Source organism: Homo sapiens, chromosome 14 (genome assembly GCF_000001405.40).
Source record: "Homo sapiens chromosome 14, GRCh38.p14 Primary Assembly".
NCBI classification, from domain to species: Eukaryota; Metazoa; Chordata; class Mammalia; order Primates; family Hominidae; genus Homo; species Homo sapiens.
Genome location: NC_000014.9, coordinates 78,314,958 through 78,329,823, shown reverse-complemented (window position 1 = coordinate 78,329,823; position 14,866 = coordinate 78,314,958). Strand labels below are relative to the sequence as shown.

General features: G+C 43.0%; 1 protein-coding gene across 51 annotated transcripts in view, besides 1 other annotated feature; it reads right to left on the bottom strand.

The window, feature by feature from the left end:
• Positions 1-14,866, bottom strand: part of NRXN3 (neurexin 3) — a 1,697,919-nt gene that overhangs the window by 1,538,468 nt on the left and 144,585 nt on the right. The window lies entirely within an intron of this gene.
• Positions 1,420-2,619: an enhancer, noted in NCBI's record as "CDK7 strongly-dependent group 2 enhancer chr14:78793548-78794747 (GRCh37/hg19 assembly coordinates)". NCBI's record gives its function as "activates an origin of replication core promoter dependent on BRD2, BRD4, P300/CBP, MED14 and CDK7 cofactors, with strong dependence on CDK7, by STARR-seq in HCT116 cells {active_cell/tissue: HCT116}" and the evidence as "EXISTENCE:reporter gene assay evidence [ECO:0000049][PMID:35650434]".

Here is a 14,866-nt window from a genome sequence, read left to right as displayed (position 1 = left end):
TCTTCTTTCATTTGTCGAATCAAGAAACATTTAAAGAGCAGAGAGAAAACAGTCATGGGCTTCCAGGTGCTGATCCCAACTTCCCCAAAAAACCTCAAGGACAGAGGTAGTTATATCTTCTCCTTGGATATTAATTCCTACTGGATTTTTCCCCCTTCTTTTTGGCCTAATGCACAAAACTGTCAGTAGAATGGGAGGCATTTGGCAGTGACTGCAAGAAACAACTGTGCATTTTATAACAGTCCATTAGCGCAAAGCTCTTAATGAAAATGAAAGCTGTTAATGAAGCCAAAAGGCAGTGGAAGCCTTCATTCTGGAGAGGGCAATTAGATAGGAGCAGGAGGGAGAAAAATAAATACAAATCCAAAACAAGGTACTCTGTGATCAAGTATTACACATGATGTAATCATGACAAATCAGCCAATTTATTTCCTACTTTTTTAAAGAGACATATACAAACACTGAAAACTGTCATTCTTCAGGTCCCCAAGCTTCCCCCTCAAGCCCTCGTGTTGCAGAATGATTCAACCTCAAAATTGTGGACCCATTGACACTTTCAAACTAGAAACAGCAAGTGGGATTTTAACTCAGAGAAGGTTTCCCTGTAGAGTGCCAGAATTTAGAGCAAAGTGAGTCACGAAAGTGAACTTTGTAATTACTATATTATTTTTATAACTCCTATGAATCAGAAGCTCTCTCATTTTAACATGCTGTAGACAAAGGCAAAGATTGCAGGAGAATAGTCCCCTGCCAAATACACTATTTCTGAGTAGGATATTTCCTGTGAAAAGACAAGTCTCTAGAAACTGTGCAGCTTCTGGAATGAACACAAAAAGATCTGGTTTTTTTAAAGCTGTGATGGAGACCATGTGGCAGAATCCTGTCCCCACCCCTACCCCAAATGCCTGCTGCACTTCCTCAGCAGCCTAGGTTTGCAGTTGTAAGATAGTACCTTGCCATGTATACATGTCAATCCTCAACTAGATTTTAAGTTCTTTGAAAGTGGGGATATCATCTTATATGCAGGTAAGAAATTATCTCAAAGCCTTTCCTTCTTTGCCCAGAGAGACTTACACACTTCCTCTTGTAGCATCTCCATCCCTAGCTCTTAAGCTGGATTAAAATTACATATCTGGAAAATTCTTGATATCAAGAAGGACTGGTGTGGATATTTATGCATCACCTCCATGCTTAGCCCATTAATGTGCCTATGTTGAACACAAATACTTGTGAAATGAGTGACTAAATAAATGATCAAATTCAATTGGATAGTTGTCTTTACGTTTGCATTAGCTTTTTTTATTTCCCAGAGACAAGCTCTTGTTTCATTTTTTAGTTCTATTACATGGAATAATTATGTCAATTGAATTCTATTGCGTCAAATAGTTGAATATGATGCTGTGGTTAATGATGATTGATGCAACTCAACATCTTCCACCCCAGGGAACATGAATCAAATCTCCTATTAGTTACCATCTGGGTACTTGAGTAGTTGCTGGAAAATCAAAAGAAGCTTACCCTGAGAAATAGCTTTAACTGGAGAGTCATCGTCTATTGAGCGAACAGTCAAAAACGTCTCATGAGAATTATTTTTTCCTAGACTGCCTAGGAACAATTGGGATTTTAACTCACAGAAGCCTTCCCTGTAGAGAGCTATGATTTAGAGCAAGATGAGTCTTAGGAGCCTCCACCCACCCCATCCCCTGTGTGTCGGCTTTGTTATGTGTCAACTTGGCTAGGCTGAACTACGTTTCCCAGAATTCTCTTTCTTGAATGTTTCTGCTTAGAGAGGGCCTTAAGGAAGACTCTTGGGCAATTTGGAGGATAGAGGAAAAGCACTAGCCATTTTGCAGCCCATACACATTGTTGCTGATGTGCTGATTCACCTCACTGACATGAAGCAGCGGCTGGACCTCCAACTGCTCTACATTCCCCTGGATCCTCCTTTAGCACCTCCAGATCCTGAGCCCAGGCCTAGGCTGAGTGCATGTTTTCAGTTCTGTGAGGGAGGCTCCCACTCCTGTTATCTTTCTTTGTAGCATTTATCACCGCCTGATGTAGTATATACTTCTTCTTTTGATGCCTGCCTCCTCCTCTGAAATGGAAGCTCCATGAGAGCAGCAGTTTCTTGGCTCACTGCTATATGCCCAGTATCTACAAGAGCAGTAGGCGGATAATAGGCATTCCATAAATATTTGCTGAATGAGTGAATAAATGAATCAGTCAATGCGTCTGCCAAACAACAACAAAAATCCCTTATAGTTGAAGTACCATAAAGTAATGCGTTGAGTTCAAGCCTGGAGTTTGAGCTATAAATAATAAGTAGGGTAAATAACTTACTGTCTTTGGTGCTGTATTCATCAGCAAATGCAGCAGGAATTGCTACAAAAAGCTCCTAAGAAGCTAAAAAATAAAAGATCAAATTGCCAGCTACAACCTCAGGAGATGAGCCAGTGTTCATGTTGTTTGCTTCACCTAGGATTCCCTTTCTTCCCAGCAGGCAAAGCTCTACTGATCCTTCCTATCCCCATTCAAATATCACCTTTAGGTTGACAGTAGGTTTCTGTGATATTAATTCTTTCCCCGACCCCAAGTGATTTTGCCTTGTCTTTGTTGCCTTTGCACTTCAAACATGGTTCTATTATGCCTCATTTCGATATACCATTAACAATAACTAATAATATCTAACATTTATTGAGTCTTGCACTGAGCACTTTGAATGCATTAGTTCACTTAATAATAATATTAGTAACATGGATCATGTGCCAAGTATTCTTGTAAGTACTTAAAATACATAAACTAGTTTAATCCTCACAACCATAACAGGCAGTACTATGATTATGTCCATTCTACAGATGAGGAAACTCAGGAACAGAGAGATTTTTTTTTTTTTTTTTGTAACTCACTCAAGGCAACACAGTGAGTTGTGTGAGTAAGCAGACTAACTGGATTCGAATTCAGATCCATTCTGTTCACAATTACACACACTGCATGTCTCCTCCACTAGAACAAAGAAAGGGCAGTAATCATCTTTATGTGTTCCCCACACCTAGAACAGATCATAGCACAGAGTAAGTAGCTGCTAAATAAATATTTGCAGAATTAAATGTGTAACTTCAGAGCGAATTTTGCCTCAACCTCCATTGCTCTGTGAACACCACGCTTCATCTTACTTCTGCTCCTGGATGTCCTAGTTAACTTCTCTTTCCCTGCACAAACATGTGCACCCCACCACGATGTATACCTTTTGTTCTTTTCTTTTTTTCCCTTCAATTACTTCCTCTACATTGTCAATCACATGCGTGACTCCCTCACAGTCCCTTCAACCTGTCACCTTTCTGGTCCCTGAGGAATCCAAAACGGAACATGTTATTCCAGATGGAGCTGTGGAAAACATAACCAACTCCTTGTTTCAGCTCATTCTTTTCACAGAGTAACTTCACATTTACTTATCCTGTGAAATGGTGCCCTTCTCAGACTCATGACTCTCCTCTCAGCACATGTTAAGGCTGCAAGCAGCCAAAAGAACCCTGAGTGGGACTGGGTCAGTGTAGAGATGAGGTATGGCCACAGATATCATTCTATAGGTACTCGTGTCTCTGGCACCTCCAATGCACACACTTCCCCAACTTTGATCACTCTACTCCCCATAAAAAATGTTGGGTGGCTTTCTAGGGATGGCTCCCCTGAGCTCAGTAAAACTCCTGCATTCTTGCAGATGTGTATTTAGACTTCCATGCAACATTCCAACAGGCTAGCAGTTATCCTATGGGCAGGCTAACCAATCATCCTGGTTTGCCCAGGACTAAGGGGGTTTCTGGAAGACGGGGCTTTCAGTGCTAAAAGTATACAAGTTTGTCACCCTCTCCAGGATGGCAATTGCTGGGTAAAGAATAAGTCTATAGAGTGAGATGTGTTAGAAGATATCCCTCAAAAATGACAACTTGAATAATACAAAGCTCAACTCACTTTGCATATTTGTATAGATTTGCAAACTTTTCCAGCTAGAAGGGACCTCAGAGATCACCAGGTCAAGCCCCAGATGTTTGTACAAATGGAAACAGGGGCAGAGAGATGAAACAACTCATTCAAGGTCAGCTATAGCAGAGCTTGGGAAAGAATCTAGATCCCCTGACCCTAGGCTTTTTTTTTACACCCTATGCTTTTTTTCAAACTGTTCTCTGGATGTTTCTTCCCCTACTTGAATGAGAAAGGCCATTCCATCAGGTACAGACTGGGCACACAGGGCAATGATGATAATGATAAAAATAACGATAATAATAGATAACATCTATCAAGCACTTACCATATATGAGGCATGGTGTTAGGGTATCACATTTGTCTATTCCTCATAAAATTCCCAAAGTAAGGACTATTATTCTCCCATTTTACAGATTCAGTAGTAGAGGCAGAATGCAAATGTGCACAGTGTACATTCATTCAAGCAATCTGTGACACTGTGAAAGGCAGAGTACTTCTGCCTCTGACCCTATCACACTGAAGAGAGAGGAAGGGATAGTCCTATGCAACACTGTGGCTATAAGGACCACCATGGCTCAGGTGCCTTCCCACACCCCGAAACATAACCCCTGTCCATTCCTCACGTTCAGTTCAAATTATGGAAGGATAAATCCTTGGACGGCCTTGGACCTTTGTCTCATTCCTGTCCTGATGCTAATTTTTATATATTTGCAAATTTTTTAATGTTTGCAGATTGTCCTCAAGGAAATTCCCTCCATTTGTCCTTGCCTGTACTCTCCCGCATTGTTCCTACCTGCCTCGGCCTCCTGTCCTTGACTGCTGACCTCTTATACTATGCTTCCTTCCACAAGCCATCGCCATGACACCTCCCAATTTAGCATCACGTATGAATGTCAGTACCAGGAGTTTAGTTGTTCTTCCAGATCATTAAGTGATGATGGCCAAATTGGGTCTTCTCACCTGACCCTATCACACCCCGAAAGCTAAGGCCATTTGTCATCACAACCTTCACTCCCATCTCCCAGCCAGTTCTCATTCTGAGTGACATGGCTTCCCCCCTGGCCAGCTTGAATTAATTTCTCAGGCAAGATTTCAGGCCATTTCTCCATCAAGTGATTTTACTAAAATCCAGATATATTACATCCACTGCATACTTCTCACCTTCTAGAACTGTGATTTGCTTTTCTGTAGTGATCAGAATGTCCTGACATGATTTGTCCTTTTATTAATGCACTCTCTTTGCTTTTCTCTGTTTAACTGTCTCTGTAAATTTCCCACATTGCGTAATCTCTTAATTTGGTTTTGTTATTTATACTTCAGAATGAATGAAGGTAGACTTAAAGGGCAATGACTGGCAATTAACAGGACTTCTTCCTTTTTGAAAACAAAAACACTCTCAGATCACTGCATTTTTTTCTTCCCACTTTCTGACAGCTTCCTCTGTTAACAGATCATGGGTAGAACACATCTCATTGTGAGCAGGTGTCTCAGCTGTCCTATGCTCCACTATGTCCTAGTACCCACAGCAATGCCAGGTATGCAGTAGGTGCTCAGTGAATGTACCATAGACACTTTGCAGTGTGCACAGTCCTTCCATGTCCATTCTCTCATCAGATCCTCATACCCCATGTGGTAAGCGGGTTTATCCCCATAATACAGATGAAAAGACAGGCTCCAAGAGGTTGAAGGCTGCAGAGCATAGTGGTTAAGAGCTCAGGCCTGGGTTCCAATCCCAGCTCGGGTTTCTCATTAGCTAGTTACCTTGGGCTAGTCTCAATCCCTGACCCTGTTCTCCTGTCTGTAGTAGGAGGATAATAACACATATTGCTATACACCCAGCTCATAGTGTTGTTGCAAGGATGAAGTGAGATAATGGCCATGAAGCACTCCATCCTTGGCACTCATTGTATTAATAATACTACATTTGGAGAAACTGCTCATGGCTGGTAAGTACAGATCTAGAACCACAACCCACCTCTCCTGCTAGTTCCTGTGTTCATATTTATACCCCAAAACCTGATATCTGACCATCAGGATCCTGGGACTGGGCTCCCACTTGTACCTGTCACAGGTAAGGTTAGGACCTATGCACCTTATCTTTATTCACAAGGCCTAGGGAAGCACTTCCTTGGCATGAGAATATTCGTACAGATGGGAGGGCCTACAGGATCTGACCACAGGCTCCCTCCAGTCTGGTCTTTTCCTGCCTGTCACAGCAGACCTATCCATCGATCTATTCCCCTGCCACAGTATGGCTCAGGGAGGATTTAGCTGATAAATGATGATGCTGTTTATAGTAACACCACTCCCTTCCATTCACAGTACACTTTACAGTTTACAAACTGCACACATTTAATTTCCCAACAAACCTGGGGCAGGCACGGCAGGGGTTAAATCCCCCTTCAACAGATGAGGCTCCAGGTGTGCTGCGTCTTACCCAAGCTATGCAGTCAGAAATGCAGAGTTAGGACTTAAATCCAGGGCTTCTCAATCCACACACAGGGCACTTTGATTTTAGGTCTCTCTTCATTCTTTCCCAACTCACCTCCTTCTGTGTTACTGTTCCTCCTCTGCCCCAATCTCAATTTCTGTAGCCCATACCACGGTACCTCATCCCCCACAAAAATGAAAGTAATACTTTTATCATGTTCGTAGGTTGATATTTGGGAAGATATATACAATTTTAAATTCACTTTAAATCTTCAAGTTCTTTTCCTATTTATCCCCCACCCAAGCATTGTGTTAAACCCTGTGAAATACTAGTTAATCAGATACAGTCAATCTCCTCTCCTATAACATCAAGCCTTTATTTGTAGAGGCATTATGGTGGCCATAAGGAGTAAGAAATAAGGTGCCCAGCCTCATTTCAGACTGGTTGGGGAGACACGAAGGTGACACACATTGCAGAAAGGCATAGTGCGGGGAAGATAGCTAATGCATGGTGCAGCTAGAAAGCAGCACGACATTCTAAGGAGTTGAGGTGGCCAGGCAAAGTGTCACAGAGTGTGTGAGGCTCAAATTAAACTTCAAGATATGGCTACAAATGGGAGAAATGTCCCTGATAAATGGGCAAGCACGAGCAGAGATAAGACGGCACCTGGGATAGTGAAGCATCATGGATTAGCAGGGTGGGGTTCTAGCCAAGGTTTCAGCAAGTGGGATGGGAGCTGAGGTTAGCCAAACTGTGAAGTACCGAATGCCAGGCTAAGGAGCTTGAACTTTATCTTCTAGGGAATGGGGGCAGCCATCAAAAGTCTTTTCATTGGGAGAGTGACACATGGAGCACAGAGTTGAGGGAGGATTTATTTGTCTGCAGCCCCACAGAAGGTGGTATATCACGGCAAGCAACATGACAGAGACAATCAGAAAACAAAGAGACATTAAATAAGGCTACAACATTACACAATACTACTATTGGAGGTCTTGGACTCCAGAGCGCATTTTCATGGAGTAGCAAGAGCAAGGCAAAGGATGTTCAAACTAGAGTCCAGGAGGAATGATCACCCCTTTCCGAATAGCCAGGGAGTGCAACCTCCTTACTCAACTTCCCTAGTACACTTTGCCCCTTTTCCTAACATCTGTGGCTTTCCCAATTACATATTTGACAGGCATCTTCCCCAAAGGATTGTAAAGATTCAGAAGCTGAGGGTTTGGCTTATTTCATTTATGCAATCCCCCTGCCCCTAATAACCCATGAAGGCTCAATAAAATTTTTTGGCTTGGATTAGAGTAAAATTTAAGAGCTGATTAAAAAAAAAGGGCTGGTATGCAGATTGAGGGTAGTGCGGTAGAAAGGAGTAAGAATTTTGGAAGGAATGGGAGTGTGATCCTAGTTTTATTCAAAGTGGTGAACAGTCCAAAGTAGGGAGTGTGTATTGGAAGCCCCCGCCCTGTATGCTTTCAGAGACCTTCCTCATCTGCACTCAGGTAACATTCAGAAGGTAATTGCTGGTTATCAAGGAACATGGTCTCTGAATCTCCGACGCCCAGCACACAACAGACACTCAAGCAATGGATCTGGAAGGGGAAACCAGCAATGTTTTGAAGCCTATGAGACCTTGGAGGCATAAAGCATTTTCAAACACATACCTCTTTTGACTCGGTTTAGGGACCTTGAAACTTCAAAACTGTGAAAGGAAGAAGTACACCCAACCCTTCCTTCTCTCTACCATGGAACCAAGAACCCCACCTTGATGACTGAAGACAGAAATGTACAAAGCACCAGTTGCTTTCAACAGCTGTCTCAGAAATGTTTTAGCAAGAATAAACTAAATCCAACAGAGAGCCTTGCAGGAACCTTTAAAAAACAATGACAACTACTCATTGTGCCCTCTAAAGAGCAGAGAAGACGAAAGGAAAGAGAGGGTATACACATACAAGAGTATTCACATACAAATATTTATGAATCCAGAAAAAAACAGAAATAGGACAGGAGAGGGTAAAAGGGCAAATCACTGTTCTTTATGAAGATGGGTTTTGTTCTGTCTTTACCAGTGATTGTAACCCCTGACCCATTTACTTCTCCCTTCCTGGCCTTGGGAAAGTTTTTCAATGTTTTTATTAGATATGCTGCCTTGGGGCAGATGGAAAGTAGCAGCATGCACGAGACACTGGAAAGAGCTCAAGATGGGGTTATGAAGAGCACCCTGGACTTGAATCCCAGCAATCCCAGCAGGGATAATTTAGGGCTGGGTGATCTTTTTTCTTTTTCTTTTTTCTTTTTTTTTTGAAATGAAGTCTCGCTCAGTCACCAGACTGGAGTGCAGTGGTGCGATCTCGGCTCACTGCAACCTCCACCTGCTGGGTTCAAGTGATTCTCGTGCCTCAGCCTCCTGAGTAGCTGGGATTACAGGCATGCGCCACCTCACCCAGGTAATTTTTGCATTTTTAGTAGAGACGGGGTTTCACCATGTTGGGCAGGATGGTCTTGATCTCCTGACCTTGTGATCCACCCACCTCGGCCTCCCAAAGTTCTGGGATTACAGGCATGAGCCACCGCACCCAGCCAGGGCTGGGTGATCTTAGGTGAGATGCTGAATCTCTTTAAACCTCGATTTCCTCATCAGTGAAATGGGAACAAAAGCAGCTCTCTCACTGGATAAATGTGCAGATACACATTCCTTGAGCACAACACACAGGAAAGCCACACGGTACCCCCAACTCCCAGTTGACCACCAGCGTGAGGCACTCCTCCCTTGCTTCTAGGTCTCCCGTCAGATCTACTGGGAAATAATGGGATTAAAAGAAATCACAGACACAAGCACTTTCGATTCCTCTGACTATATGCTAGGTAAATATTCACATCCTTCTGAACAACAAGGTAAAGGGTTTATTTGGAGTATTCTCAAGTCAATTTCCTCAAAGCCGAGATGTCTGGCCAGGAGCAGATAAGGTCAGATCTCACACAGACGACCTCAAGCCCGACCCAGAGGCTCCTGTTCAAAGGAGATTAACGCCCACTCCACGCTTCCAGGACCCCAGTGATGAAATAAATAATTCATTTCCGTCCCTGTTTCTCCTCTCACTGCCTAAATACAGATTTAGGTTTTAAATGCTTCCATTTGTAACTAAAATAACAACGAAAATCCCGGTGAAGAAACCCCCTCCCAAGTGGTACGTGTTCTCTCTGACTCTCCTGTTACTGGATTAGTCCCTGGGGAAGCCAAAGACACACACTTTAACCTTTCTCAGAGCAGACTGAATAACTAGCTCTACTTACAGCTGTTGATACAGCATCCCTGAAGACACCAGGTAAATGTTTCAACCAAGGCCACCGCCAGCTGGAAACCAGAGCCATCAGCCAATATAGACACTGGCAACCAGTTGTGAAATATGAGCCTCCTAATGCACTTCTGTTCCTCCAGCAGCAGTCCCAAGCTTTTTTCTTCCTCCCTCTAGTCCAAATAAAACAAAGGAGTCCACCAGAGACTTAACTATCTGCTTTGTTAGACAGTCAGATTATATTTCTTAAGCATTTTCTCCTTTGTTTTTGTTTAGATCTCATTCTTCCCAGGGGATTATACAGATGGGTAACAGGGAGAGTGAGATCAAACAAGACTGAACACAACACAGGGATGGCAAGACCAACATTGCATTTGCAGAGTAAAGTTAAGTGAGATTATACCCAGAGGACACCCCATGTCCAGGGCTGCAGCCTCAGTGCCAGCTCCAGGTTACTGAGAATGTATATTGTCATCGCTGTTGGGAGTCACCCAAGCCCATAGCAACCACCAGTGTGTAAGGCAAGCCCTGATAAATTTGGGCAAGGGGGTGGGACTTGGGGCTCACGGGTCACATGAGTTTCCTATTGATAATTACAAGCAACTTACAATGGGCAGTCTGTGAATCATGTAGGCCCCCAGAAATGTGTCCTCATGGTGATGATTTGTTACAGAAACAGGCCTTTTTAGGAGCATGAAGAGGAGTCTGGTAGACACAGAATTATAGGCTACTCCCCATGTTTCTCTCCTTGTGGGAATGGAACAGCACATGTGCACTTGTCATATATGCCATGACCTCCATGTTTCCCATACAGACACGGAGACAGAGGCAGACTGACGCCCCACTTCTATTATCCAAGGGGGATGAGAAGGCTTGAGTTTCAGCAGGCACTTGCGTGGTTGCCTGAAGATAACAACTAATTCCTAAGAATCTGAGTCCCAGCTCTCCCATCTACTTCCAAGGAGTGCTGTTCTCCTCCTTTGGATCTTTGCATTCTGACTTATTAGAGAGAAAGAAGCAGATGCCCTCACTTGCAAGATCATTCAAAGTGATGGCCTCAAAGACTTGTCCCTCCAAAGAATGGTCCACATACCAGCAACATCATGGACATCCCTTGGGAGTTTGTTAAAAATGCAGAATCTTAGGCTCCACCTCAACCCTCCCCACGCAGAACCTGCGTATAACAAGATGTCCAGATGATTCGGGTGCACATTAGATTGTGAGACACACTGGCCTAGAAAGCAGTTTGAGAAGGTCAAATGCAACCTTGGTGCTAAGAGGCAGCAGCCCTTTCAAGAAGGGCCTTTGCTCTCATGGTATTTGGTTTGAAGAACCTGATAACCACATCCTTCCAGTTGTTGCACCCTAGGGAACTCATTCTGTTCTACCTGCCACACTGGCTGCCCCTTGTTATACTGACGGCTAAGGCAGGTAATAAGAACTGTGGCCACAAGTCAAGGTAGAGCTAACACCCGCAGTGACATTGGGGGAATCGGGGGGGATGTTGCTGCCTCAAAATCCTAGATGAAATGTGTGGTTGGAAATTAGGTCAGTGTGCTAAGAAATAGCAGCTGATTGAGCAGCAGCTAAAAAGAAAGACTCTGTGAATGAGGTGAGGCATTTGAGAAACAGGTATTTACTGAGAGCCACTCTGTTAAAAACACACTTGAGACTAGAGGGCTGCCTCAGTCAGCTATCCATCAATAGCAATCCATGTCAGGTGACCTAAGTGGAGGCCTGAGATCAAGGCAGAAGGAAAGGATGCCATCAGAGCAGTTTCCACTTAAGAAAGTTGGGCCTGGCATTCACTCCATTCCCACAGACATTTCCCTGCCTCTTTTCATGTCAATGAACTAAGATCCTAAGATGCTGAGTCCCTGATTCCACAGATGCTAGGATACCAATGGCCTTCCCCTTTCACCTCTCTGCTTCCAAATGTTACCTATGCTGGCACACAAGCTCCCTCTTTGACATCCCCTTCTCATGGAAATAGGATGATTTCACAGCCAGATAGTAAGGATGAAAAATATACACCCCCAAATTTCCCAAGTCCTTATTAAGAACCTAGTTGGGTTTGGTTTCATATTTTGAAAGTTATTCTATCAAGGTAGAGCTGGCATTTGCAACTCAATATCCATTTCCCTATTCCCAAAATTTGGAGTCAAATATCCAGCCTCCCCCTAAATCCAATATACTGTAGGAGGAAAACCAACTCTTTAGTGCATTTTCAATTATACTCAGGATAGGTGTATCACGTTAGGTGAAATTATGATCTTTTTATCTTTATTTATAGATTAAGTATCATTTAAGGAGATATAGATGAGTGTCGAGTTGAAAAGGGGTAGACTTGTGAAGTGTAATTTTACGTGTCAACTTAACTGAGTCCCAGTACTCTGATTAAACATTGTTCTGAGTGTGTCTGGGAAGGTATTTCTAAATGGGATTCGCATTAGAATCAGTGAACTGAGTGAAGCAAATTGCCCTCCCCAATGTGGGCAAGCATCATCTAATCCAGAAGTCCTCAACCTCTTTGGCACTAGGGACCAATTTCATGGAAGATACTTTTTCCACAGATGGAGTGGCAGGGGGAAAGCAGAAGAGGGGAGGAGATGATAGTTTTAGGATGAAACTGTTCCACCTCAGATCATCAGGCATTAGTCAGATTCTTATAAGGAACACACAACCTGGATCCCTCGCATACACTGTTCCCAATAAGGTTTGCACTCCTATGAGAATCTAATGTTGCCACTGATCTGACAGGAGGCGGAACTTAGGCGATAATGCTCACTCGCCTGCCACTCACCTCTTGCTGTGCGGCCTGGTTCCCAACAGGTCATGAACCACCACTGGTCCACAGCCTGGGGGTTGGAGACTCCTGATCTAATCCACTGAGGACCTGACTATAACAAAAAAGCTATGGAAAGGGGAATATGCTTTCTCTGCCTTGTTGCTTACACTGGGACATCAGTCTTCTCCTGCCCTCAGACTGGGATTGACACCATCGGTTCTCAGGCTTTAGGGCTCACACTGAAACTATACCACTGGCTTCCTCTCCAGTTTGCAGACGGCAGATCATAAGACTTCTCAGCTTCCCTAATCACGTGAGCCAGTTCCTCATAACAATCATCATGTGCATATATATCTCCTCTTGGTTTTGTTTCCCTGGAGAACCCTGACTAATACAGTCAAGGAAGAGTGTTACTCTCTCTCACTTACAAAGACCAAAAACCAAATCATCCTGGGAATGGCCATCAGCCATCTTAAAATCACATGGGCAGGAGCTGCCAAAAATGAAGCCAACACCAAGAAAGTCAAGCCAAAAAATGGGGAAGACAAACACTAGGTCTTGGTCATATCATGTGAGTTACTGGACTTTTTAGAAACTGAGCCCATAAATGCCCTTTGTTGTTTAAGGCAGTTGAGTTGAAAGTTCTGTTCTTTGCAGCTGAAAGCATCCTAACTGACATATCAAATAAATAAATCATTCTCTGCTGGGAAGAAAGGGAATGTCTCACCAAAATTCTCTTGGCCTGGGCATATATATTAGGCCCTCCCAGCTCCCTTCTCCTCCAAAAATAAATTGTCAGACCAAAGGAAAAAAACAAACAAACAAACACCTTTCAGATAAAGAGGCAGGTAAAGCAAGTTAAGAAAAGTGGCTGCCCCTCCCTTCCTGCATCTCCAGCTCCCTGAAACAATAACCCCAAAATATCTTATTATATAGGTCTTTAATTCCTCTTTCTTTCCTTAGGAATTTCTTCCTTTACTCCTTCTAGGGATTTAAATATCAGAAGCAAATTGTCCACCCTACCCCCACAGCTGTCTGCCACCCCCGCCCCCAACTCTACACTCCCTCCTGTCACCATATTTAAAGTGGGGGTGGGGAGCCTTTATTCTAAACCCAGTGCATTTCTCTCAGCTCTTTCCTAATCCCTCCACCTGTGAGATAATTGCTGGCATTTAGGGAAAAAAACTCAATAGTAATCACAGACTTGCTCACAAAGACACAAAAAGAGGCAGATAAAATAGGAGAAAGAAAAAAATCACAAGCCCAGAATTATCCACACTCTGACATCCATTCCAATAGTACAATGGGCCAACCTCTAGCTACAAGAGAAAAAAGCACAGCTTTACAGGAAGGGGCTTCATTTCAGAACATCATGGAGGTAATGGTTACTATGCGTACAAGAGATTAAGATATATCTACAAACTAAAATGAGTTGCCATCAGTTAACTGTTCACAAGTCAGTCACAAAAAATAAGCAGGCCTATCAAACATGTACTCCTATTATTGTCTTAATGCAACAAGAAAATTATCTTAATCAAAAGTGTCCCTTTTTAGACGATAAAGAGGAAAAAAAATGCTGAGATATTTTTACCCAGTGATCACAATAAAACAAAATCCTATTGAATCAGGCATTTGGCCCCACTCCATCAACTCAAGCTAAGATCCCAATCACTTTTGGGTTATGGATGCAAGATAGAGGTCACATCCCTTAAAACAAGAACTACAACAAAAATCTACGTATAACAAATAGATTTGGTATACATAAACGCAGCTTGTTTTAAATATTTAAAATACAACAAAATACTTCTATTAAAGTCTCATACACTTCCTTTCGGTTCATTTTATTCCTTGGAATTTGCTGTAACACAGCGTGTCTCAAATTTACCTGATCATAGAATAATTTAGAGCTGCAGGTCCTACAGTTCTGAGGCAGGAACTAAAGTCTATAGTTTCACAAGTTCCCTGGGTGATTCTCACGAATTTGAGAAACACTAATGTAAGTAACTCTGAAGGGTTTTGTTTAATACAAAATACACATACAAGCTGGGTGCAGTGACTCATGCCTGTAATCCCAGCACTTTGGGAGGCTGAGGTGGGCGGATCAACTTAGGTCAAGAGTTCAAAACCAGCCTGGCCAACAGGGTCTCTACTAAAAATACAAAAATTAGCTGGTAAGCGCCTGTAATCCCAGGTACTCAGGAGGCTGAGGCAGAAGAATTGCTTGAACCCAAGAGGCAAAGGTTGCAGTGAGCTGAGATCATGCCACTGCACTCCAGCCTGGGTGACAGAGCAAGACCCTGTCTCAAAAAAAAATAAAAAGAAAAGAAAGAAAGAAAGAAAGAGAAAGGAAGGAAGGAAGGAAGGAAGGAAGGAAGG